The sequence below is a fragment of the Homo sapiens genome, chromosome 10, assembly GCF_000001405.40.
Source record: "Homo sapiens chromosome 10, GRCh38.p14 Primary Assembly".
Taxonomy (NCBI): Eukaryota; Metazoa; Chordata; class Mammalia; order Primates; family Hominidae; genus Homo; species Homo sapiens.
In genome coordinates this window covers 19,055,187-19,079,590 of record NC_000010.11, presented here as the reverse complement: position 1 = coordinate 19,079,590, position 24,404 = coordinate 19,055,187, and the positions used below count along the sequence as shown (strand labels likewise).

Genomic DNA, 24,404 nt, shown 5'->3' with positions numbered 1-24,404 from the left:
GGAGACTCTAATATTCTACCTTCAAAAATAAATAGAACTATTTGATAGAAGATCAGCAAGAAAATAGAAAACTTGAGCAATTCTATAAACCAACTAGACCTAACAGATACATATGGCACACTTGCTCCACCCAACAACAAAAGAATGCACATGCTTCTAAACTACACACAGAACATTCTCCAAGAGAGATAATATTTTAGGTCAGAAAACAAATCTGAATATATTTAAGAGCATACAAATCATACAAGTATGTTCTCCAGGTATAACAGAATGATTTAAATTAATAACAGAATGAAATCAGAAAAATTCACAAATACGTAGAATTAAATAATAGTCTCCTAAATAACCAATAGGCTAAAGAAGAAATCACAAGAGATGTTAGAAAATACCTTAAATAAATGAAAATAAAAATTCAACATATAAAAATGGTTGGGATGCAGTTATTTCAGTGCTTGGTAAGAAATGTATAGCTGTAAATGCCTAAATTTAAACAAGGAAAGATCTCAACATTAATAATAAGAAGCTAAAGGAAGAGAAAACTAAACCCAAAGCAAGCAGAGGAGGAAAATTAGAGAAGAAATAAATAAAATAGAAAATACAAAAACAATAAAAAAATTAAGAAACAAAAGTTCCTGGAAAGATCAATAAAACTGACAAACTTTTCACTAGATGAACCAAGAAAAAATAAAATTAAAAACTCAATTTACTAAAATGAAGAGTGAACAAGGTTCAGAACTTCTAACCTTACATAAATAAAAAGAATTACAAGGGAATACTATGAATAATTTCATACTACCAAATTAGATAACCTAGAAGAGATGGACAAATATCCAGAAAGACACAAACTACCAAAGCCAATTCAAGAAGAAATAAAAAATCCAAATAGATTGTAACAAGAGAGTAAATCAGTAATCAAAAATCTTTCCACAAACAAATGCTCCAGCACAAAAGGCTTACTAGTAAATTATACGAAACATTTAAATGATTAACACTAATACTTCACAAACTCTTATAAAAAACAAAAGAGGAAGAAACACTTCCCAACTCATTCTATAAGGCCACGATTACCTTAATAAACCAAAACCAGACAAAGACATCACAAGAAAAGCAAACAAGAGAACAACATAACTGATGAATATACATCAAGCAACACATTTTAAAAATTTTTCGCCATGGTCAAGCGGAATTTATCCTAGGAATGCAAAATTGGTTCAACACATAAAAATCAATCAATACAAACACCATATTGATCAAGTAAAGAACAAAAAACAAACGACCATGTCAATAGATGCAAAAAAAGATATGACAAAGTCTTAACACTCTCTTATAATAAAAGTGAATGGGTGCAGCACACCAACATGGCACATGTATACATATGTAACAAACCTGCACGTTGTGCACATGTACCCTAGAACTTAAAGTATAATAAAAAATGAATAAATAAATAAAATGTAAAATTCAAAAAAAATAAAAAAAATTTAAATCCTAATGATAATAGCTGACGTTTATTAACGATTTACTATGCACCATTTTTTTTGCTAGCAACTTTTATGAATTATCTCATTAAATCTTCATAATAATAGCATCAAGAACTACAAATATGTTTTCATGTAAGAAGGGAAATAAAATTACTTTATGAGTTTTGCTTTGAGGTTTGAAGAATGAAAACAATGCACGACTTAGAAAATAGTATAATTAAGTGAATTTTATTATCATTGTCATCATCTCTCAGTTTATAAATGAAAAAACTAAGACTTAACTAATGTAAAAATCAGTTAACAAGGTTAAACAACTGGTAGGTGGTAGAGGAGCTGGGAAGAAATCTGTACCTGTCTGAATCTGGAGCGGGAACCCTTAACTGATGTGTCACTCCAGCAGGTCATCAGTTACTCTACAATACCTATTAAGTATACTATATTTAGTGTATTTAGATTTATAGTAGATTTAGAGTCTACTGTAAAAACAAGCACTTCAGACACCTGTTAGAAAGTATCCATATCATCTTGTTTGAAAATTGTCCCTCTCTAGTGTTCTTTTCTAAACATGATGATTCAGAACTCCAAACTCTTGAATCAGGGCACCCTTTAGGGTCAGCATTAATAATTTCTCAATACTTAAAATAGTTTCCTCCTGACTGTCTCTATTATTGAGATTTCTCAAATGCCTTGGCCTGAAATGGGTGTGCACTATGAAAAAAATGGCAGACATTTCTTTTTGTTAACCTAAAGGAATTTTAAAAACACATATAAACACACTGGTTTGTGACAGATTACCAGGCTTTATGTTTAGCAGGGTTTCCTAAGCAAAACACAAATTCTGTAAACCTACAGAATTAGATAAAACATTGACTCAGTCCTTAGATGAGAGTATAATGGATTGTCACTTAATAACTTTTGTCACTGAAAATAAATGATGTAAAAAGTAAAAGTTGGTAAGTATATAGGATATAAAATCAATATACAAAAACCAGTTTCATTTCTATACACTGGCAAGGAACAATCTAAAATAAAATCAAGAAAAAATCTCATTTAAAGTTGCCTCAAAAACAATAAAAGACTTAGGAATAACTTTAATGAGTAAAAATCAAGATTTGTACAATAAAAATTTAAAAATACAATGTTGAAAGAAATCAAAGAAGACCTAAGTAAATGGAAAGACATGATGCATGATAGCCTGGAAAACTTAATATTGTTCAGATGACAGTAGTTACCAAATTGATCTACCAATTCAATGCAATTCCTCTCAAAATTCCAACCACCATTTTTGCAGAAATTTGCAAATTAATACTAAAATACATATGGAAATGGAAGAAACACAGAATAGACAAAAAACTCCTGAAAGAAAATAACAAAATTATAAGACTTACTCTTCCCTAGTAACTTCCTTTCAAACTACAGTACAAGGCTGCAGTAATCAAGAAGATAGTGTGGTACTGTCATAAGCACAGGCAGAAAGATCAATGCAATCGCATTGAGAGTTCAAAAGTAAACCAACGCATCTATGAATTTTGACCGTGTTAAGATAATTCAGTGAGGAAAGTGTAGACTTTTCAATATATGGTGCTCAGACAACTGGATAGGTACATGCAAAAGTGGATACCTCATAACATATTAAAATTAACTAAAGATGGATTAAAGACCTAAGTATAAGATATAAACTCTTACAGGGAACTGTAAGTGTAAGTCTATGACCTTGGATTAGGCAATGGTTTCTTAAATGTAACACCTAAAACAAGAGCATCCATATGAAGAAGTAAATAAATAAATAAGTAAGTACATAGATAGATGGAAGATAGGTAGATAGATAGATGATAGATAGATAGATAGATGATGGCTATATAGATAATTAAATTTGACTTTATCAAAATTACACAGGCTAGGACAGTAGGGGCAAGTGGCATTAATGGAAGACAGATCCTTAATTTTTGGCATGATCTAAAGGGAAGCAATGAAAATCGGGGTAAGAATAAAAAAGTTAAACACATAAATGAAAAACTGGAGGAACTGGAACCATGTAAAAGAGAAAAAGGAAAGCCCAGGGATTTTCCCCCAAATCATACCATTAATTAGTGTTTAAGGGGAATCCAGGTCTCCAGACGACTTTTAGAATTGTTCCTCTTTACCTAGTAAAACGGAGATTTTACTCACTGCAAATGTTCGTTATTAGCAAGAATAGACAATCAAGAAAATATAAACCTTTCTTCCCCTAAAAACTTTGAAAATTAGTGAACTCATTTTCTATTGCTTCCATAACAAGTTACTACACACCTAGTGGCTTAAAACAACACAAATGTATTATCTCACAGCTTCTGTAAGTCAGAAGTCCCAGCACGGTGTGGCTTAGCTGGTTCTTTGCTTAGACGCATAAAAGGCTGAAATGGAAGTGAGGGTTGTCTGTACTCCTTTCTGAAGGCCCTGAGGATGAATAGGCTTTCAAGCTCATTGAAGTGGTTGGCAGAATTCAATTCCATGCATCCCTAAGAATTCAATTCCACACAGCCCTAAGACTGAGATCCCTGCGTCTTTGCTGGCTGTTAACCAGTGATTGTTCTCCACTTTTAGAGGCCCCTGTATTACTTTCTTGTGATCCCCTTTCTTCATTTCCAAAGCCAGCAATGAGGTCAAGTCCTCAAACTTTAAATCTCTCTAATCTTGCCTTCTGCCTTAGCTCTCCTGCCTTCCACTTCTGCTTTTAAGGGCTCATGTGATTACACTGAGCCCACTTGAACAGTCCAAGATAATCTTGCGATTTTGAAGTCAGTTGATTAGTAACCCATTTACAAAATCTCTTCATAGCTGTGGCCAGATTAGTCTTTGATTGAATAACCAGAGGATAGGAAATTGGGGACGGGGGCAGATTTTATCATCTGCCTGCCACAATTAGGTAGACAATAATTTGATTCTCTTTTTCCATTTGCAATATTCCACGGTATTGATCAAAATCTGTAAAGCCTAAAGTAGTTTGAGTCTCTTTAAACTTCCTGGATTAATTCACTTGAAAGATACTTAAAATCAAAGTGAGCGTTCATCATAGTTCCCAGAGTTCATATGCAGAAAATTGACATCTACTGGGTATGTTCAAACCAATTTCATTAGTAAAATATCATGGTCACCCTCATTTGACAGAATCTCAGTCAAATGATCATGGTTCAAAAGATGTATCTTTTGAAATTTGTATATTTATTTTAATACACTATTATAGGATTTTTATGTACTTCTGTTGAGCGTGAATTTTTTCAATTGTGTCTAAATTAATTTGAAGAATATATCCATCTATAAATTTAACAAATAATCAAGCCATCTGCCTATAAAAATAAATTTGCTGCCAAATGAAAAGCAAATGATGCATAGAAAAATATTTCTATTTTTCAATAGAGAAATTAGAGAATGTATCATTTTTAGCTCTCATCAATACTCTAAGATATCTGACAGCTTGACTATTAATATTCCATTGCAAAATTTTGTTGATATCTATCAGTTAATTCAAATAAGTATCTAAGTTGTCAACTATGATTCCATCACTGACATATAACTCTGAATTTGAAATAAATGGAAAAATAGAACAAATATATTATCCAATACACAAAAGATGTCAAGATTGTTGAGTGACTATGAAAATCTCATATAGTTCACCCATTTCAAATTCATGCACACACACAAACACACAGACATCAAGGACCTTGGCATTATTAGCTTAACAATGAAAGAATTTGTGCAAGAAACTAAAGCTCTCTGGAAAATACTGCTTGAGACATAAGGAATCATTAAGCACCAAATATGCATGCCCTTGAAATTCCTTACACTATTCCTCAACCACTGCCATAACATCCATCAATGTCTCTCATTTCTGCTGCCTGGTTGGACAGTGGCAGAAATAGGATTGTCAACTGTGAAGGAGTTTGGGTATAGGAAGAAAAAGAAGGCAAGGAAACAGTTCAGGTGAGAAAAATTAGTAACCTTTGGAGGACATAATTCTTGACATTCACAACATACACTGTTAGCCTATCTTCTTTGTTTCCAGTCATTTCTAGTCATAGTAGACTTCTGTGTCATCGCCTGAGCACAGCAACTATCTCCACCTGGTCCTTATGTGGTTCTTTCCATTTGAAATACCATTTCTCTCATCTCTCCATCCATTGAAATACTGCTCATCTTTCAACTATTTTCTCAAATGCTCTTTCGCTTTCTGGAGTCAGAGTTTGTCTCTAGTCTCAGAGAAATTTATTCAAACCCAAATTTTGTACCCTTTTCTTTCTTCCAATAAGTAATTGTTTTATTCCCAAACATGTGTCTCAAAGAGATCACAAACACCTTGATATATAGCCTGTAACTTAATACAGGTTCAGTATCTCTTACCTAAAATGCTTGGGACCAGAAGTGTTTTGGATTTCAGATTTTTTCACATTTTGAAATATTTGCACATGCATTAGAGATGGGACACAAGTCTAAACATAAAATTCATTTATGTTTCATATACACCTTATTCACATAACCTGAAGGTAATTTTGTACAAGGTTTTAAAATAATTTTGTGCATAAAACAAAGTCTCTGCACATTAAACCATCAGAAACCAAAGGCGTCAGGTGTGGAATTTTCCATTTGTGGCATCATATTTGCCCTCAAAAAGTTTCCAATTTCGGAGCACTTTGGATTTCAGATTTTTGGATAAGGGATGATAAACCTGCAGTCTTTATTATCTTAACAACATTATCATGATGTCTTACACACTGGAATTAATAAAAGCTTTTGCATTAAAATTAACAATAATAATCAGCATATATAAATCTAACAACATAAATATACATTTATAATACATTTTTATTTTAATATTTTTACTTTTAAAATAACACAACTACCATATTAAAAATGGGTTAAGAGGCCTGGTGTGGTGGCTCACGCCTGTAATTCCAGCACTTCGGGAGGCCAAGGTGGGCAGATCACTTGAGGTCAGGAGTTCAAGACCAGTCTGGCCAACATGGTGAAATCCCATCTCTAATAAAAATATAAGGATTAGCCGGGCATGGTGGCACATGCCTGTAATCCCAGCTACTCAAGGGCCTGAGGCAGGAGAATTGCTTGAATCCAGGAGGGGGAGGTTGCAGTAAGATGAGATCATGCCACTGCACTCCATCCTGAGTGACAGAGTGAGACTCTGTCTAACCAGAAAAAAAAGGGGGGGAAGGTAAGTGAAAAAAAGACACTGTAATTCCATTTCGTTAACACATCTTGTTTGTACTCTCAGTACAAATAAGTACTAAAAGTATTTATTTTAAAGAAAGAGGATTGACTACTATAAAAAAATTTCCCCCTTAATTGAAAGTTCAGATACATGTTTAAATAATAGCATAATAAAGCTGATTCTGATACAGAAATAAAGTTTGCTTCACTTTTGTTTGCTATAAATGTGAACACTGGGCACTAAAATTAAGATTATAATGTATCTGTGTTCTTAGAGGAAGAATTATATTCTTTATTCATTTATGTCCAATATTGAATAGTGTCAGATATAAAATGCTCAATTAATGTTTATATTGAACAGACACGGGGGCAGCAAACTGTAACCCACAGACAAATCCACCTGCCACCTAATTTTGCATATCCTATGAGTTAAGAAGGGTTTTTACCTGTTTAAATCATTAAAAAATTCAAAAAAATAAATATTTTTAAACATGTAACAATGATATTAATTATACATTTCCATGTTCATAAATAAAAGGTTAACATAACACAGCCATGCTTTATGTATTTTGTATATATGACTGTTTTTATAGTGTAGACGGCAGAGTTGAGTTTTTGGGACATGGACCATATGGCCCAAAAAGCCTAAAATATTTGCTATCAGCCCTTTCAATGAAGAGCATGCAGATGCCTGGAATAGATGAGTTGTTCGATGGAAATTTCTCAGATTACAAACAGTATAGATGCTCCCAAGCAACATCTGGAAAACACACACATCGTATCCTTGTCACGTTGTGAGCTTTGAAATGTGTACGTGCAGATAAGAAAATGGTTGCTGGTTACTTTTTTCTAACTTTTAATATGTAATCATAAGTACGTGTATACGGTTGATGTCTCTATCACCAGATTGCAAGTTCACCACAGACAAGAGCTGCATTCTTGTTCACTTTTATATCTTCAGGTCCTGGAAGAGCATGCGGAGCAATACAGATGTTCAGTAAAGAGTTTTCAAAGTAAATATAGAAAGGAATAAATGGACATTAAATTTTCACTGATTTAAAAATAAACAGATATTCAGACAGAGGCTGCAGAAACGTAATCTAGAGAGTGAGAATGTGGGATTCTTGTCTCCATGTTTGGTCTTTCACAGTTTCTTCTTAATAAAAGAACCCAACTCACCCTGTATGTAGCAGAGCCTACCTATTACTTAGGAATGGATTATGGCTCAGTTTCCCTTCAGAAAGGGCAACATAGAGCAGCTTAGGAGATGCTGGTGTTCACTCAGCTGGGAAACTCAGTGATGAACATAATGATTACGTTAGAAAAACAAGAAAAATCTATAAGCTGGTACCACAAGAGGACTTTGAGATAAAGAGAGGAGGCATTATTTTTAAGGGATAGGGAACTTAAGTGAAGGGATCACAGCAAATTCAATTCTGTCAGCCTTTGACATAGGGTCCAGCTGCAGCTGCAGATGGAGTGCAAGGCAAAAACTCTGAGAGAAGGACTGCTCTCTCCTGGGCCTGAGAAACCACGAAGGGCAGCCTGGAATAGCTAGGTATGATAGAAAAAAAGAAATTCTATAAAGAAGAGAGCCAGAAAAAAAAAAAATGAGTGCCCCCTGTTCTATGAATAATCTCTGTCCAAGTCTCTGGCCAAAATGGAAACATGCATGTGTAGGGAGCCCTTCTAGCAGCTAAGCCTAGAGGAATTGAATTGATATTTTGACTGCTGCCCACAGCATGCAAAAGTTTGTCATTTGAGGTTGGACCTGGTGACTCACGCCTATAATCCCACCACTTTGGGATGCTGAGGCGGGGAGATCACCTGAGGCCAGGAGTTTGAGACCAACCTGGCCAACATGGAGAACCTCATCTCTACTAAAAGTACAAAAATTAGCCAGGAGTGGTGGCACATGCCTGTAATCCCAGCTACTCAGGAGACTGACACAGGAGAATTGCTTGAACCTGGGAGGCAGAGGCTGTAGTGAGCTGAGATCACACCACTACACTCCAGCTTGGGCAACAGAGCCAGACTGTGTCTCCGGAAAAAAAAAAAAAAAAAAAAAAAAAAAAAAGTTTGTCATTTGAGTCTATGCAACTTAATCATCTGCTTAAACAAATTATCACCATGCTTTGAAAAAATATATATAATGCATCCCAGAGCCTCCATTCACACATCCAGGATAAAATTCAAAATTATACGACAAAGAACTAGGACAACATAATCATACACGGGAAAATTTAATCAGCAGCAGGTAAATCTGAGATGATGCACGCAAGGATTTTAAAACTCCCATTGTAATTATGCACAATGAAGTAAGGGAAAATATTCTTAAAATGGATGAAAAGGTAACAGAGAACTTTTTTAAACTAAAACAACCTATTAAAAATTTTAGAATTGAAAAATACAATGCAGGCAATCCCTGACTTACAATGGTTCCACTTAGGATTTTTCTGCTTTATGATGGTGAAAAAGTGATATATCTTTAGAGGGACACAACCACTCTATTTTTCACTTTCAGTACAATATGCAATAAATTACAGGAGGTATTCAATACTTACTATGAAATAGGCTTTGTGTTAGATGATTTGACCCAACCGTAGGCTAATGTGTATGTTCTTGGCAAGTTTCAGGTAGGCTAGGCTAAGCTATGGTTCTCAGTAGGTTGGGTGTATTAAATGCATTTTCAATTTATGATGGATTTATTGAGACATAATCCTATTATAATTTGAGGAGCATCTGTACTTGATTTCTTTTTAAATCACTGGATAGGATTATCAGTAGAATGAAGGTAACAAGGGAAAAAAATCACAGAACTTGAAGATAGATCGATTGAAATTATGCACGCTGAAAACCAGAAAACAAAATCAAAATATATGCGGAGATTTCATCTAACAGCATGTTAGACTTACAGACTAACACACTGATGATTGAAATACAAAAGGGAAATGAAAGGGAGAATGGGACAGAAGAAATACCTGAATAAACAAGAGCAAAATACTTTTCAAAATTGGCAGACGGCGTACATTTCAGATTCAAGAAGTTTAGTTAACATAAGTACGATAAAATTTAAAATGTTCGTGCTGAAATCCAAAAATAAAGACCGAATTTTGAAAGCATCAAAACAACAAAGATATATTAAACACAGAAAAAAAAAAGAAATTGTGGATATCACAGTAGAAACTAGGTGAAGACAGCAAAATAATGTCTTTAAAGCACTAAAAGAAAAAAAAAGACCATGAAAAAATATATATCCAGTAGGAAAACATTTCAAGAATGAAGGCAAAATAAAAACATTTTCAGGGGGAAAAACTAACATAATTTATCACCAGCAGAACTGCACTACAAGAAATACTAAAGGAATTTCTTCAAGCTGAAGAGAAATGATACCAGAGACAAACTCAGATAGGTAGAAGAAATAAAGAGTGCTGCAAATAATAAATATGATAAAAGAATATCTTCTTTTAAATCTATTTTTAATGCTGTCTAAAGCAAATATTATAACATTGATTTGTAGGGCTTATAATATATAAAGATTATAGAACCAATATATGTGAACGCTATAGAACAAAATAAAAATATCGGATGGTGTTTAATAGCGTACATGTTTCATAATATATGAATTTTAGATCTAACAATTGATCAGAATAACAAAAGCTCTAATATCCTCATTTAAAACTGATTTTAAATGCCCAAATTAGGAAATAATAATCTGTGGCATAATGGGAAATATTTTTCAAATAAATTGTTTTTTAATCTTTGATAGACTTAAAGTGAATTATACATTTAAAAACCCCTTTTTCACCTTTAATATCAACTGAACTCCAGAATTACTTAAAACTTTCATATTTGCATTCCCATCTTTAAAGGCAGTTTCACCATCCTTACAAAGATGTATTTGATTTTGTTGTAGTACTACTATTTTATCTATATGCAATGTTACATTCTTTTAAAAATCAGTACTACATTTTAATCCTTCTTTCCCTGAGCTTTACTAGACTTCAAATATTGACAACAGTGATGTTTTTAATGTTCTAATGGATTCTCAAACTTGCCACTCAAGGCATTGGTTACATAATGAAAAATATAATTTTGGAGCACTGGCAAATCATTTCAAGAGTAAGTTAATCAAAAATTTGGTTAATACTTATGAAATGAGAATTTTTGAGTAAAGACAGGATTCAGACCATTTTTCTATAAATATGTTCCAACAGCTAATATCTACAGCCAGAACACTTGCTTACTTAAAATTATTGCTAGAGACTACTTACATGTTAACATTCAATTGTATTTGTAAGAGATGCATGACTATTACCAAAGTTACCAGCCTTCAATTAGTTATGCAGGCAATATTTTGTCTCTTTTTCCTATGCAGCTTGCATTATTATTATCTCTGTTTTACAGATAAGGAAACTGAGACTACAAAACCAGCTGACTGGCAGGGCTAGGATTCAAACCCATCTAGTCTGACTCCAGAGATTTTAAGTCAACCCAGATGACATCGTTCTATGGTATCTGCCTATACAACATCTCAGTTTTGGTGTGAATTGCCCCATTTTACCTCTTGACTAGGCAATTAAAAATATGCATAAAAAAAACGAGGGAAAATGGCAGAAAGGAAAGAGAGAGAGAAGAAAATTGGGAAGCACAGTGTCTTCTGAAGCTATTTAACTCCACAGTAAGGAGGCAAGCAAGAGGAATTCAGTAAGAGCCACCGACAAACAAAAGTCTACAGTAAATAAATATGTGCTGTAAAAAGCCTTCTGAGTAAAAATAAAGAAACAAAGGAGAGACATATGGAATCAGCAATCTGTAAGACTGCAATGGCCGTTAGGTTGGGAGCAAGATTCAATATCACCATCTAACATAACTAAATCTGTAATAAAAGTTTCCTATATTGCAGTTAGTGCTTGTTATATTTGTGAAGCTGGACCCTTTTTGGTAATAAAACTGGCTGATTCCTAAAAATGGTTAAGAATTCTAAACAAAAGTAATTTTTGACATTAAAGCCAAACAAATTAAGAAACTCCATCTTATCAATATAGAAGTAACATTAGCAACACCAAAATTATTCAGAAATGGACTAAACATCAATTTTTGAGTGCCAGGTTTTCTATAAGCTCCATCAACAATTTTTCATTTAGTTCTTAAAATAACCATCCTAAAAATTTAGCATCATTATTTCCCCTCTTAAAATTGTGAAAACTAAGGCTCAAAACTTAATTTAAAATTTTACAGCTAGGGAGGGACAGACCAGGGAGTCTAATCTGCATGTGTAATATTTATGAAAACACTGCCAAACTAACATCCAATGCCTGAACATTTGCTTGTTTCAAATTACCTCCAGGGCAAAAACCATATTTTAACATTTAATTGAATTTGTTTGAGGGAAGTATCACTTATAAAAATAACTAGCTTTTAGTTATGCAAGGAAATGTGTTACCTCTTTTTCTACCACGTGTAAACCTATCAGATGAGGGCAGGCATGGAATCCGTTTTTGCTCCCTAATACATCTTAAACACCCGGTACGCAATGTTGAATGAATGGAGTTTATTAGTTAATAAATGAAGAAATTTCTGGCTCCAGAGCTACCTCAAAGTCTAGAGAGCAGTTCAGCAGAGCTTTCTAGTCAACTTGATTAAACAAGTGGTACCAGACAGAGCTGAAATCAGTCCAAGCAAAATAAAAGTAATTTGACTAATTAATCTAGGTATATTGTCCCATTTATGTTTTACAATTTCCATAAAGAATAAGAAAAACTGGAAAATCCCAATTATTCTCTAAGCAGACCTATTGGAATCCAAGGAACCCAATTATGAGAATCTGATGTGATATTTTAAAATCATAAATATTTTGAAACTGGTTAAAGAATGCATAAAATTAGACATTTTAACTACAAATATGTAAATATCAGACAAGATTCTGCTTCCCTAATTAAACATGTGGTGGGGAACGGAAGAAAGGGAGGTGGGAAAGAACGAAGAAGGAAGGGAGGGAAGGAAGGAAAGGAGGAAGGGAGAGAGGGGAGAAAATAAATTTAAAGCATTTACCAGACACATCACCATTGTGATCATAAAATGGAGGTGATAGACCAATCATCCCACTTCTCTTTGTCCAACTAGGTTGCAGACTCTGATCTTGAGTCATATGACAGAGACCATCCTCAAAATCACATCTTTCATAATTCAAACCTAATGAGAAAGAAGAAAAGTTGGTTTTCACAACTGTGTTTAGCTTTTTAAAAAATAAGACAATAGCAGAAAAATAAAGTTTAGCAACAAATGACATAAGTCAACATAAAGATTATTCCTTATAAGTCTAAGTCTACTTTATTCATGCAAAGCTTTTTATACATCCAATATTCTAATAAGTTACCACAACGAAAACAGTGTGTTCTAATAGAAAAAATGCCACACGACATAGGATCAGAAGACTGAGGACCTAATCCTGATTTTGATTCTTATTAACTAACTGTCTTAGCTTAACTATTCAACCATAGCAAGCCTTTTCTTTACTTGCAAAATTAGAACAATAACATCCTGTCCTGTGTCTCTCAAGCAATTGCTATGAAGATCTATAATACAATACATACAAAAATGCAGTTGGCCCTCTGCATCTATGGATTCCTCATCTTTGGATTCAATCAATGGCAGATAAAAAATATTTGAGAAAAAAATTGCATCTGGACTTAACGCGTAAAGATTTTTTCTTGTTATTGCCTAAAGAATACCAACTATTTACACAGTATTAATATTTACATTGTCTGAGGTATTGTAAATTGTCTAAAGATGATTTAAAGTATACAGGAGGATACGTATAGGTTATATGCAAATACATCATTTTATATCACAGACTTGCTATCCATGGATAGCAAGAGACCATTGTACCTTACAACTCTTAGGTACCATAACATATAAGGAATTATTATTAAGGTTACATCTTAAAACTCAGCTTCCATCTTCGTGCCATGCAGGCATATCAGAATTTCAGGTTTGGGCAGATCAGATCACAGAGACCCCTCTGATGGAAACTCAACCATCAGTGGCTGAGACGTACTCCTGAAATTAAATACAGCGCCTCATCATTGAATCTGTGTTTGAGGAAAGTTTAGTGTTTTCAATCACAATAAAGACATTTCTGACTCTTTCTCTGGGTGATCCAAGATCCAAGAGACTAGGGAGAAACAGAAGACCTGGAGCACATGGTTGTTCACAATACCTACCCATGTAATGTCTATGAATGTCACATTCTAAAAATAGATGATCTCAACCACAAATGGTCCCTCCCCAGGTTGTGTTCCTCAGCAACTGTAAAGATGGTCCTTTTGAGGTAGGGGAATGATAGGACTTGTTCTCTGGTCACAACTCTGCTGACCAAAATAGGATCTGGTCCAGTCGGGATGAAGTGAAGAAGCCGGCAGAAACCAGCAGATAGCTACAAAAACAATTCCTAGCTGCTCTCATTGATCATTAGCATAAGACACTCCCACTAGTGCCATGACAGTTTCCAAATGCCATAGCAATGACCCAAAAGTTACCACTCCCTTTCTAGAGATTTCTTTCTTTCTTTCTCGCTTGCTTTCTTTCTCTTTCTTTCTTCCTTTTTTTTTTTTTTTTTTTTTTGAGACAGCGTTTTGCTCTTGTTGCCCAGGCTGGAGTCCAATGGCACGATCTTGGCTCACCACAACCTCTGCCTTCTGGGTTCCAGCAATTCTCCTGCCTCAGCCTCCCAAGTAGCTGGGATTACAGGCATGCACCAACATGCCTGGCTAATTTTGTATTTTTAGTAGAGACGGGGTTTCTCCATGTTGGTCAGGCTGGTCTCGAACTCCTGACCTCAGGTGATCCACCTGCCTCGGCCTCCCAAAGTGCTGGGATTACAGGCATGAGCAACCGCACCCGGCCCTTTTCTAGGGATTTCTAAATAGTCTGCCCCTCAATTTGCATTAATCTGCTCCTTAATTTGCACGTAAATAACAATGGGTATAACTGCAGTTGCCAACACCCCACAAGCATGGCTCCAGGTGCACTACCTATGAGTTGGTCCTGCTCCGCATGAAGCAGCTACAATTCAATAAAATAAAAGATGGATGTTTAACAGCACCAGCTCACCTCTCAATTTTTTTTTTTTTTTTTTTTTTGAGACAGAGTTTCTTTCTGTCGCCCAGGCTGAAGTGCAGTGGTGCAATCTTGGCTTGCCACAGCCTCCACCTCCTGGTTAAAGTGATTCTCCTACCTCAGCCTCCAGAGTAGCTGGGATTACAGGTGTGTGCTGCCACGCCCAACTAAAAATAGCTAAATAAAACATTTTTTCATCTAAATAGTCTCAACAGGGGTTCTTTTTGTTATAAAATGAATCTAATGAGCACAGGTTTTCAATTAATTCTTACCAAAAAAAAAAAGCAATCCTGAACTTCTAATAACTGCCAGATGACTCAAAAATACATCAGAAAATTTTCCAAATACTCATTTTCCTCAATAGAGAATTGCACATTTTAAACAATTTGAATAATTTTCCTTGAATTGTAGCTGGTTTACCTTTTAACTCCATATGCCACACATCCACATTCAAGTCTGAAACTATCCGCTGTAATAAAATCTGTCACAATGTAGATTACAGCCATCACTAAATAGTTTGAATTAATAACGCCACAGTTGGACAATATAATGAACAATTAGGAGTGCTATACAGGAACTTATCAGTGGAATCCAAGTTCCTGGACTTTTTGAACTTGTGCAACGTATCACTTTGTTTTCAATTTTATAATCCCAAAGGTCAGATGTACTGCAGTCAGAGGGAGGATTGGAAGGTTGCTTGGAAGCCGCAATTATCTCCTGAGTTGGGTTCCACGTTGTCAGATTCTCTCATTATAGAACCCCTAAAGAATTCCTCATAGTTTTGATCTTTAACACGATAATGGAAAGAAAAATATTTTTAATTATTATTATTATTTTTTATTTTATTATATGATACTTTAAGTTTTAGGGTACATGTGCACAATGTGCAGGTTAGTTACATATGTATACATGTGCCATGCTGGTGTGCTGCACCCATTAACTCGTCATTTAGCATTAGGTATATCTCCTAATGCTATCCCTCCCGCCTCCCCCCACCCCACAACAGTCCCCAGAATGTGATGTTCCCCTTCCTGTGTCCATGTGTTCTCATTCTTCAATTCCCACCTATGAGTGAGAACACTTGGAACCAACCCAAATGTCCAACAATGATAGACTGGATTAAGAAAATGTGGCATGTATACACCATGGAATACTATGTAGCCATAAAAAATGATGAGTTCATGTCCTTTGTAGGGACATGGATGAAATTGGAAATCATCATTCTCAGTAAACTATCACAAGGAAAGAAAAATATTAAATAATATGCCAAAGTGACAATCAGCTTGAGGCATGATTTTGAAAAAGTGGGAATGAGTAGGATACGTTTTCATTGTAGTAATGGTGAAGAAACTCAGATAATCCAGAACTCAGGATTAACTCTGGAAAGTATGGTCTGGGTAAAGCAACACAACATAATGTTCTTAGAAGACAGAACACAATGTAAGAATTATGAAAAATCTAGCAAGGGAAGAGATGAGATAGAAACCACACTTATTTCAAAATTTTCCCTGGGTCAATATTAATGATGTACATTTTTCTTCCTCTTACAGGTTCTATAAGGCACAGTTGTAGTCTTCCCATCAGAGTCCTACCCTTGTTTCATTACTGTAGTAAAATATACATTACATAAACTTTTTTTTTGGGGGGGGGACAGGGTCTTGCTCTGTCACCTAGGCTGGAGTGTGATGGTGCAATCATGGCTCATTGTGGTCTTGACCTCCCCAGGCTCAAGTGATCCTCCCATCTCAGCCTCTCAAGTAGCTGGAACTACAGGTGCACAAGACCACACCTGGCTAATTTTTTGCATTTTGTAGAGATGGTGTTTTGCCATGTTACTCAGGCTAATCTTGAACTTCTGGGTTCAAGCATTCCACCAGCCTCGGCCTCCCAAAGTGTTGGAATTACAGGCATGTAATTTTAACCATTCTTAAGTGTGTAGTTCTGTGGTATTCAGTATATTCACATTGTTAAGCAACCATCACCATCGTCTATCCCCAGAAGCCATTCCATCTTGCAAAACTGAAATTTGTACCCATTAAACACCACCTTTCCATTTCTCCCTACTCAAACCCTGGCAACCACAATTCTACCTTCTGTCTCTATGAATTAGAGTATTGTAGGTAACTCACATAAGAGGAATCATATAGTGTATGTTTTTCTGTGTGTATGTGAGTTGCTTATTTCACTTAGCATAACGTCTTCAAGGTTGATCTATGTCATATCATATAAAATTTGGTTTATCCATTCATCTGTCAATGGACACTTGAGTGGTTTTTAGCTTTGGGCTATTGTGAACAACACTGCTGTGAACATGGGTGTACAAATACTTGTTCGAGTCCCTACTTTGGTTTCCTTGGGGTATATATCAAGAAGTGAAAATGCTATATCATATGGTAATTCTATTTCTAATATTTTGAGGAATTGCCATCTGTTTTCAAAAGTGGCTACAACATTTTACATTCCCACCAGAAAAGCATGAGTGTTCCAATTTCTGCAAATCTTCCTAAATACATTATTTTCTAGGAGATTTTTTGGATGGTTATAATAGCCATCACAATGGGTGTGAAGTGGTATCTCATTGTGGTTTTTATTTGTATTTCCCTAATGATGAACAATGTTGAGTATTTTTTCATGTGCTTATTGGACATTTATGTATTTTTTTGAGAAATGTCTATTCAAGGTCTTTGTTCATTTTTTAATTAGGTTATTTTGTTGTTGTTGTTGTTGAGCTGTCGTTCTTTTTACATTCTGATATCAATCTTTTATCAGATGTATGATTTGCAAATATTTTCTACTACTCTGTGGATTGCCTTTTCACTCTGTTGATACTGTCCTTTGATGAATAGAAGTTTTTAATTTCAATGAAGTCAATGTATCTGTTTTGTTGCCTGTGCTGTTGGTGTCATATTGAATAAATCTTTACCACATCTAATATTATGAAGCTTTTCTCCTGTTACTAAGTTTTACAGTTTTAGCTCTTACAGTTAGGTCTTCAATCCATTTTGAGGTACCTTGTTGTATATGGTATAAGGTAAGGGTCCAACTCCAATTATTTTGCTTGTGGCTACCCAATTTTCCCACCACCTTTGTTGAAAAGACTGTCCTTTCCCCATTGGTCTTGGGTCCCTTCTCAAAACTCACTTGACCATATATTTGAAGGTTTATTTCTGGGCTCTCTATTCTATTCCATGGTCTAGATGGCTGTCTTTATGTCAATACCACACTCAGGTACTGTAGCTTTTTAATAAGTTTTGAAATCAGGAAGTGTTAGACCTCTTACTTTCTTCTTTTCCCAGGTATTTATTTATTTATTTATTTATTGGTTATTTGAGGTTCCTTGAGATTCTACATGAATTTCAGGATAAAGTTTACTACTTTTACAGAAGAAAAATTATTGAAATTTTGACTGAGATTGCACTGAATCTGTAGATTGCTTTCGGTAGTACTGAAATGTTAGCAATATTAAATCTTCCAATCTATGGACACAGAATATCTTTTCCATTTATATCTTTGTAAATGTCTTTCAACAATGACATAGTTTTCAATATAAAAGATTTCTGTCTCTTTAGTCTCGTGCTGGTTTGCTGCACAGATCATCCCATCACCTAGGTATTAAGCCCAGCATCCATTAGCTATTCTTCCTGATGCTCTCCCTCCTGATGACCCGCCACCCTCTGACAGGCCCCAGTGTGTGTTGTTCCCCTCCCTGTATCCATGTGATCTCATTGCTCAGGTCACACTTATAAGTGAGAACATGTGGTGTTTGGTTTTCTGTTACTGTGTTAGTTTGCTGAGGATAATGGCTTCCAGCTCCATCCATGTCCCTGAAAAGGACATGATCACATTCCTTTTTATGGCTACATAGTATTTCACATTTTCTTAATCCAGTCTGTCATTGATGGGCATTTAGGCTGATTCCATGTCTTCGCTGTTGTGAATAGTGCTGCTGCACATGATATAAGGCTGCTTTGACACTCTAGAATCTTCAAGGTAGATAACTTTGCTGACAAACCTTGAAATCTTAAAAACAGTGTTTTTCTTTTTTCTTCACCTTCTACTCTGTGACCTCTCTCTGGTCATTGCCTCTAGGAAAGTTAGAACCATTATAAATGAAACACAAGGAAAAACAGACTATCCAATTTTGACTAAGAATTGGTCCTTGAATAGTTAATATGTCTGAATAACAGAGGGCATAGGCTTAACTCCATAGAATTAGAATTGGAAAACCACAATGGGAGAGTGAGAAGATCCCATCCCTGGGAGGCCAGGCAAGGGTAAGGGGTCTGAGAAGAGGGCAGGAAAGATAGGCATGACTTTGCAGGAGGTAGATTGGGGGAAGGGACCAGAGAGAGAAAAAAGGACCTGATTTCCGGAAAATAGATCAAAAAGGAACTGTGTTCACCTTGTGTCGATGGTTAAGCAACTTCTAGGCCAGCATCAGGGAGCAGCAGGGAAGCTGAGCTCAAACCTGCAGACAAGTTGCTGCCTTCAAAGAAACACCGGCACAGAGGAACCACAATGAGCTCCTCTTACTGCTGTAAGATAACGTACATAAAACAACTGCATGGGGCAGAAGGCTCAACACCAGAAACATCGGTGGATACTGGTGGGTACACACACAAGCACATGCACACAAACACACAAAAGAGAGCCCAGACACTATGCTCCAAAACAAAATAAAAAGATTGACACCCAGATGGGCAGTTGTGATGGGGAAGAAAAAGTGCCAGACTCTGAACTCAAATAGGACTAGACAATGCACGATTTAACCCTGCTACATAACACTTTTCTTGCCGATATTGACTGCCTTTGCTAATATAACTTTGACAAATTACTTTACTTGCAAATTCTCAATTTCCTTACTCTGATTAAAAAATAACATCTGCAAAAACAACAACAACAACAGAAAACCTTTTTCATTGGTTTGGGAAAAAACATAGAAATGAGAAAGAAAGAAAATGAATCCGCTTACATCGCATATATGCCTAATATTATCTTGCTTTCATTTCTAAAATAAGCACAATTGCTAATAGGAAGGCTGTTTATTAGATCATTTTAAAATATAATTTTATCTTCATTATAAAAAAAAAATAGATGCAGAGGGCCAGCGCAGTGGCTCATGCCTATAACCCCAGCACTTTGGGAGGCCACAGTGGGCGGATCACTTGAGGTCAGGAGTTCAAGACCAGCCTGGCCAACACAGTGAAACTCCATCTCTACTAAGAAAAATACAAAAAAATTAGATGCGTATAGTGACATGCATCTGTAGTCCCAGCTACTCGGGAGGTTGAGGCAGGAGAATCGCTTGAACCGGGAGGCAGAGGTTGCAGTGAGCCGAGATCATGCCACTGCACTCCAGCCTGGGCAACAGAGCAAGAATCCATCTCAAAAAACAAAACAAAACCCCAAAAACAATAGATGCTATTTTAGAAAAGTTGAAATCATAAAGATATACAAAAAAGAAAAGTGATATAGAAGCCCAACACACAGAGATAATTCCAGCTCATATTTTATGTGCAGTGCCATACTATATTTTTAAGTACAATGCATATATTGATGGGTAATCATGGTTTTTCTCATAACAATATTTCATGAGCACTTTCTCATTTCTAAATAGCATCAAAAATTATGACAGATGGCTGCACAAATGTCCACATTATCCATGCATCATAATTTATTTAAACATTAACCTAATATCATAAAATTAAATGACTTCCTATTTCTACCATATGAAATGGTATTGTAAGGAGACTTTTTGCATGAACTCATTTTGTTTCTTAGAATAAATTTCTAAAAGTAAAATTACCAGTTAGAGGGCATGAACACTTTTTAAATCCTCTTTCATATTATAAAAATACTAAACAAAGAAAGGTAGAGTTTATAATTCTCTTGCCTGAAATAGTATCCATCTTCTTATGCCCTTCCCAAGAGTGCACATACTTTTTTTATTTTTCATATTTATTTTATTTTAAAAATATTGGCAGCTTTTTGTTTTCAATTGGGATTTACAATTAATAGTGAAGTTGATAACTTCATCATACATGGTCATTTCTCTTTTTGTGTGTTTGAGTTGTTTTCAAGAATTTTACCTACCTTTGTATGAAAGAAAAATGTATCTTTGATTTATTGACCTGGAAAAGAATTATTGGTGTGCTATATTGCAGATGTTTTTCCTCTTTCATTTTACTTGCAATGTTTTGATATACTGAAACTTTTAATTTATATATTCTAATTTACTGACTTTTAAAGTTTTCTTCTTTCATTTAACACTTACAAAGGTCTTCCCCACCCCAATACTTACTCAATATCAATATTCAACAAACATATTTTGAAAATCTATTACACATCAAAGAAAAAGAGAAACTTTCCTTGACTTTTCTGATTATTAGAGGCAATAAAGATTATGGCTTCGTTGTTAATATTTAACATTTTATCTTTAGAAATTTTTGGTGTCTGGAGCAAATAAGAAATGTATTTCATGAAATTGCCTCATATTCATTTGTTGTATGTAATAAAAACAGCATGGTATGGTGGTTGGTATTGATGTTTCAGGATCAGACAGAATTGTTTGTGAATTCCAGCTGCTCCATGGAACAGCTCTGTGTCCTCTGGCGTTTTCTTTTACCTAGTCTAAGCCTCATTTCCTCAAACCGTAAAATAGGAACAACAATAAAACTACTATTCCTACAATGTTTGTGTTTGGTAAAAATTAAACGAGACACTGGATGGAGATTATTTAACAGTGCTTGGCATACAGTAAGTACTGTATACAAATCAGCTGAAATTACTATCAGCTATTTTTTTTCCCAACTAATTTGGAAGGCCAACTTTATTTGTTAAATATATTACACATATGCTTAATATTTTTAACAATCACATTCTTTTCTAATTATAAACTTTCATAATGTTGGTGTAGTTTACATGCTACACTATCATACCTAATAATGAAAATTCTTTCTCTTTTTCTTCTCCCTCTTGCTAGCTATTTATCTCTCATTTTCCTAGATAAACTTCGAAGACACTTTATCAGATTCCAAAGTTTATCCTTGCTAGATTTTGTACTAGAATGTAATTAAATTGATTCCATGAAAATGGACCTATTCACACCATTGAAACATCCCATTAAGAAGCATAGTCTTGTCATGAGTCTTTTTTCTGCACATCTGTGTTTTTTCTGACTTTCTTCCAATAGGCTCTACATATTTATTTTTAGATTTCTTGCATACATAATTCTGTGGTACTATAAGCTGAATGTGTGTGTCCCCTCAAATTCATATTTAAAACCCTAATTCCCAATGTGATAGTATTGGAAGGTGGGGCCTTGGGGAAGTTATGAGATCATGAGGATGGTGCCTTCAGGACTGGATGACTGCCCTCTCAAGAACAGCCACGGGAGAGGTGATCTGTCTCTGTGCTATGTGAGGTCTCAATAAGAAGGCAGCCGTCTGCAGACCAAGCAGAGGGCACCAGACACTGAATCTGCTGGCACCTTGATGGTGCCAGCAACTAATAAATGTAATTAGTTACCTATCAATCATTTCCTTGAAGGTAAATGTACTGAATTCATCAAAAGACAAAGAGTGGCTGAATAGGTAAAAAGTCATTTTATGAGACCAGCGTTACCTTGATAATAAAGCCAGATGGGGGCACTTAAAGGATAAAAGCTGCAAGCCAATATTCCTGATGAACACAGATGCAAACATTTTCAACAAAATATTTGCAAACTGAGTTCAACAACACATTGAAAGAAGCATTTGGCATGATCAAGTGGGATTTAGCTCAGGACTGTAAGTATGGTTCAACTTATGCAAATCAATTAATGTGATACACCACATTAACAGAATGAAGGATAAAAACCATATAATCATCTCAATAGATTCGGAGAAAGCATTTGAAAAATTCAAAATCCTTTCATAATAAAATCTTTCAACAGATTACTTATAGACAGAATACGGTAAAAGCCATATGACCAACAGGGAGCAAACATCATACTTAACAGTGAAATGTTAAAAACTTTTCTTGCTAAGATCAGGGACAAAACAAAAATACCTATTCTCACCACCAATTTTCAGCATAGAACTGGAAGTCCTAGCCAGAATATTTAGGCAAGAGAAAGAAATAAAAGGAATTCAGGTCAGAAAGAAAGAAGTAAAAGTGTACCTGTTTGCAGATGACATAATCTTATATGTAGAAACCCAAAAGACTTAACAAAAAACTGTTAAAACTAATAAAAAATTCAGTAACATTGAAGGATACAAAAGCAACATACAAAAATCAATCGTTTTTCTATATACTAATAAGAAACCATCCAAAAAAATTTAGAAAACTATCCCATTTACAATAGCAACACATAAAGTATAATACTTAGATATAAATTTAATTAACAAGGTGAAATATCTGCAAACTGAAAACTATAAAACACCGAGAATTAAACTTAAGGAAACACAATTACATGAAAATGTATTCCATATTCATGGACTTAAAAAATTAATATTGTCAAAATGCCCATAGCACTCAAAGCGATCTACAGATTTAATGCAATCCCTATCAAAATTCCAATGTAATTTTCACAGAAATAGAAAAAAAAACTTAAATCCATATGAAATCACAAAAGATTCCAAGTAGCCAAAACAATCTGGAGCAAAAAGAACAAAGCTGGAGGCATTACACTATCTGGTTTCAAAATATACTATAAAGCAACTATAATCAAAACATAAAAATAGACCAGCAAAAACAGACACATACACCAACAGAACAAGCTAGAAAGCCCAGAAATAAAGCAACACTTTTTTAACTCTAATTTTAGGTTCAAGGGTACATGTGCAAGTTTGTTACATAGGTAAGTTGTGTGTCATGAGGGTTTGTGTAGATTATTTTGCTACCCAGGTAATAAGAATAGTACGCAATAGGTGGTTTTTCGATCCTCACCCACCTCCCTCTTCCCTTCAGTAGTCCCCAGTGTCTGTTGTTCCTCTCTTTGTGTCCATATGTATTCCATGTTTAGCTCCCACTTATAAGTGAGAACATGCAGCATTTGGTTTTCTGTTCCTGTATTAAGTGTCTATCAACCCACACATTGATGGTCAATTGACTTTGGCAAAAGTGACAGGAACACACAAGGGAGAAAGGAGGGTCTCCTCAGTAAACGATGTTAGAAAAACTGGACATCCATATGCAGATGAAGGAAACTGGACCCTTAAATCACACCATGTAAAATAATCAACTTGAAATGGATTAAAGACTTAAATATAAGACCTTAAACTATAAAACTTCTACCTGTAAAAGCAAAGATGGAGAAAAGCTCCATGACATTGGTACAGGCAACTGTTTTTGGCTATGTCCCCAAAAGCCCAGGCAACAAAAGCAAAAATATACAAATAGGACCGCATCAAACTAAAAAGCTTCTGCACAGCAAAGATGACAATTAACAAAGTAAAGACAAAATCCACAGAATGGTAAAACAATATTTGTAAAGCACACATCTGATAATGGTTGATATTCAGAATATATAAGGAGCTCAAGCAACTTCATAGCAAGAAAATAATATCCTGATTTAAAAGTGGGCAAAGGACCTTAGCAGATATTACTCAAAAGAAGACATACAAA

At 35.0% G+C, this 24,404-nt stretch overlaps 1 protein-coding gene across 8 annotated transcripts in view; it reads right to left on the bottom strand.

The window, feature by feature from the left end:
- The window catches only part of MALRD1 (MAM and LDL receptor class A domain containing 1), a 687,552-nt gene that overhangs the window by 654,888 nt on the left and 8,260 nt on the right, over positions 1–24,404 (bottom strand). For 7 of the 8 annotated variants that reach the window (XM_011519453.3, XM_011519455.3, XM_011519454.2 and 4 more), the window contains one exon: positions 12,732–12,872. In XM_011519453.3, coding sequence (XP_011517755.1) covers positions 12,732–12,872 — 141 coding nt within the window. Of the gene's footprint in view, positions 1–12,731; positions 12,873–24,404 lie in introns of those variants that run through there. The other variant, XM_017016182.1, reaches the window with a different exon arrangement.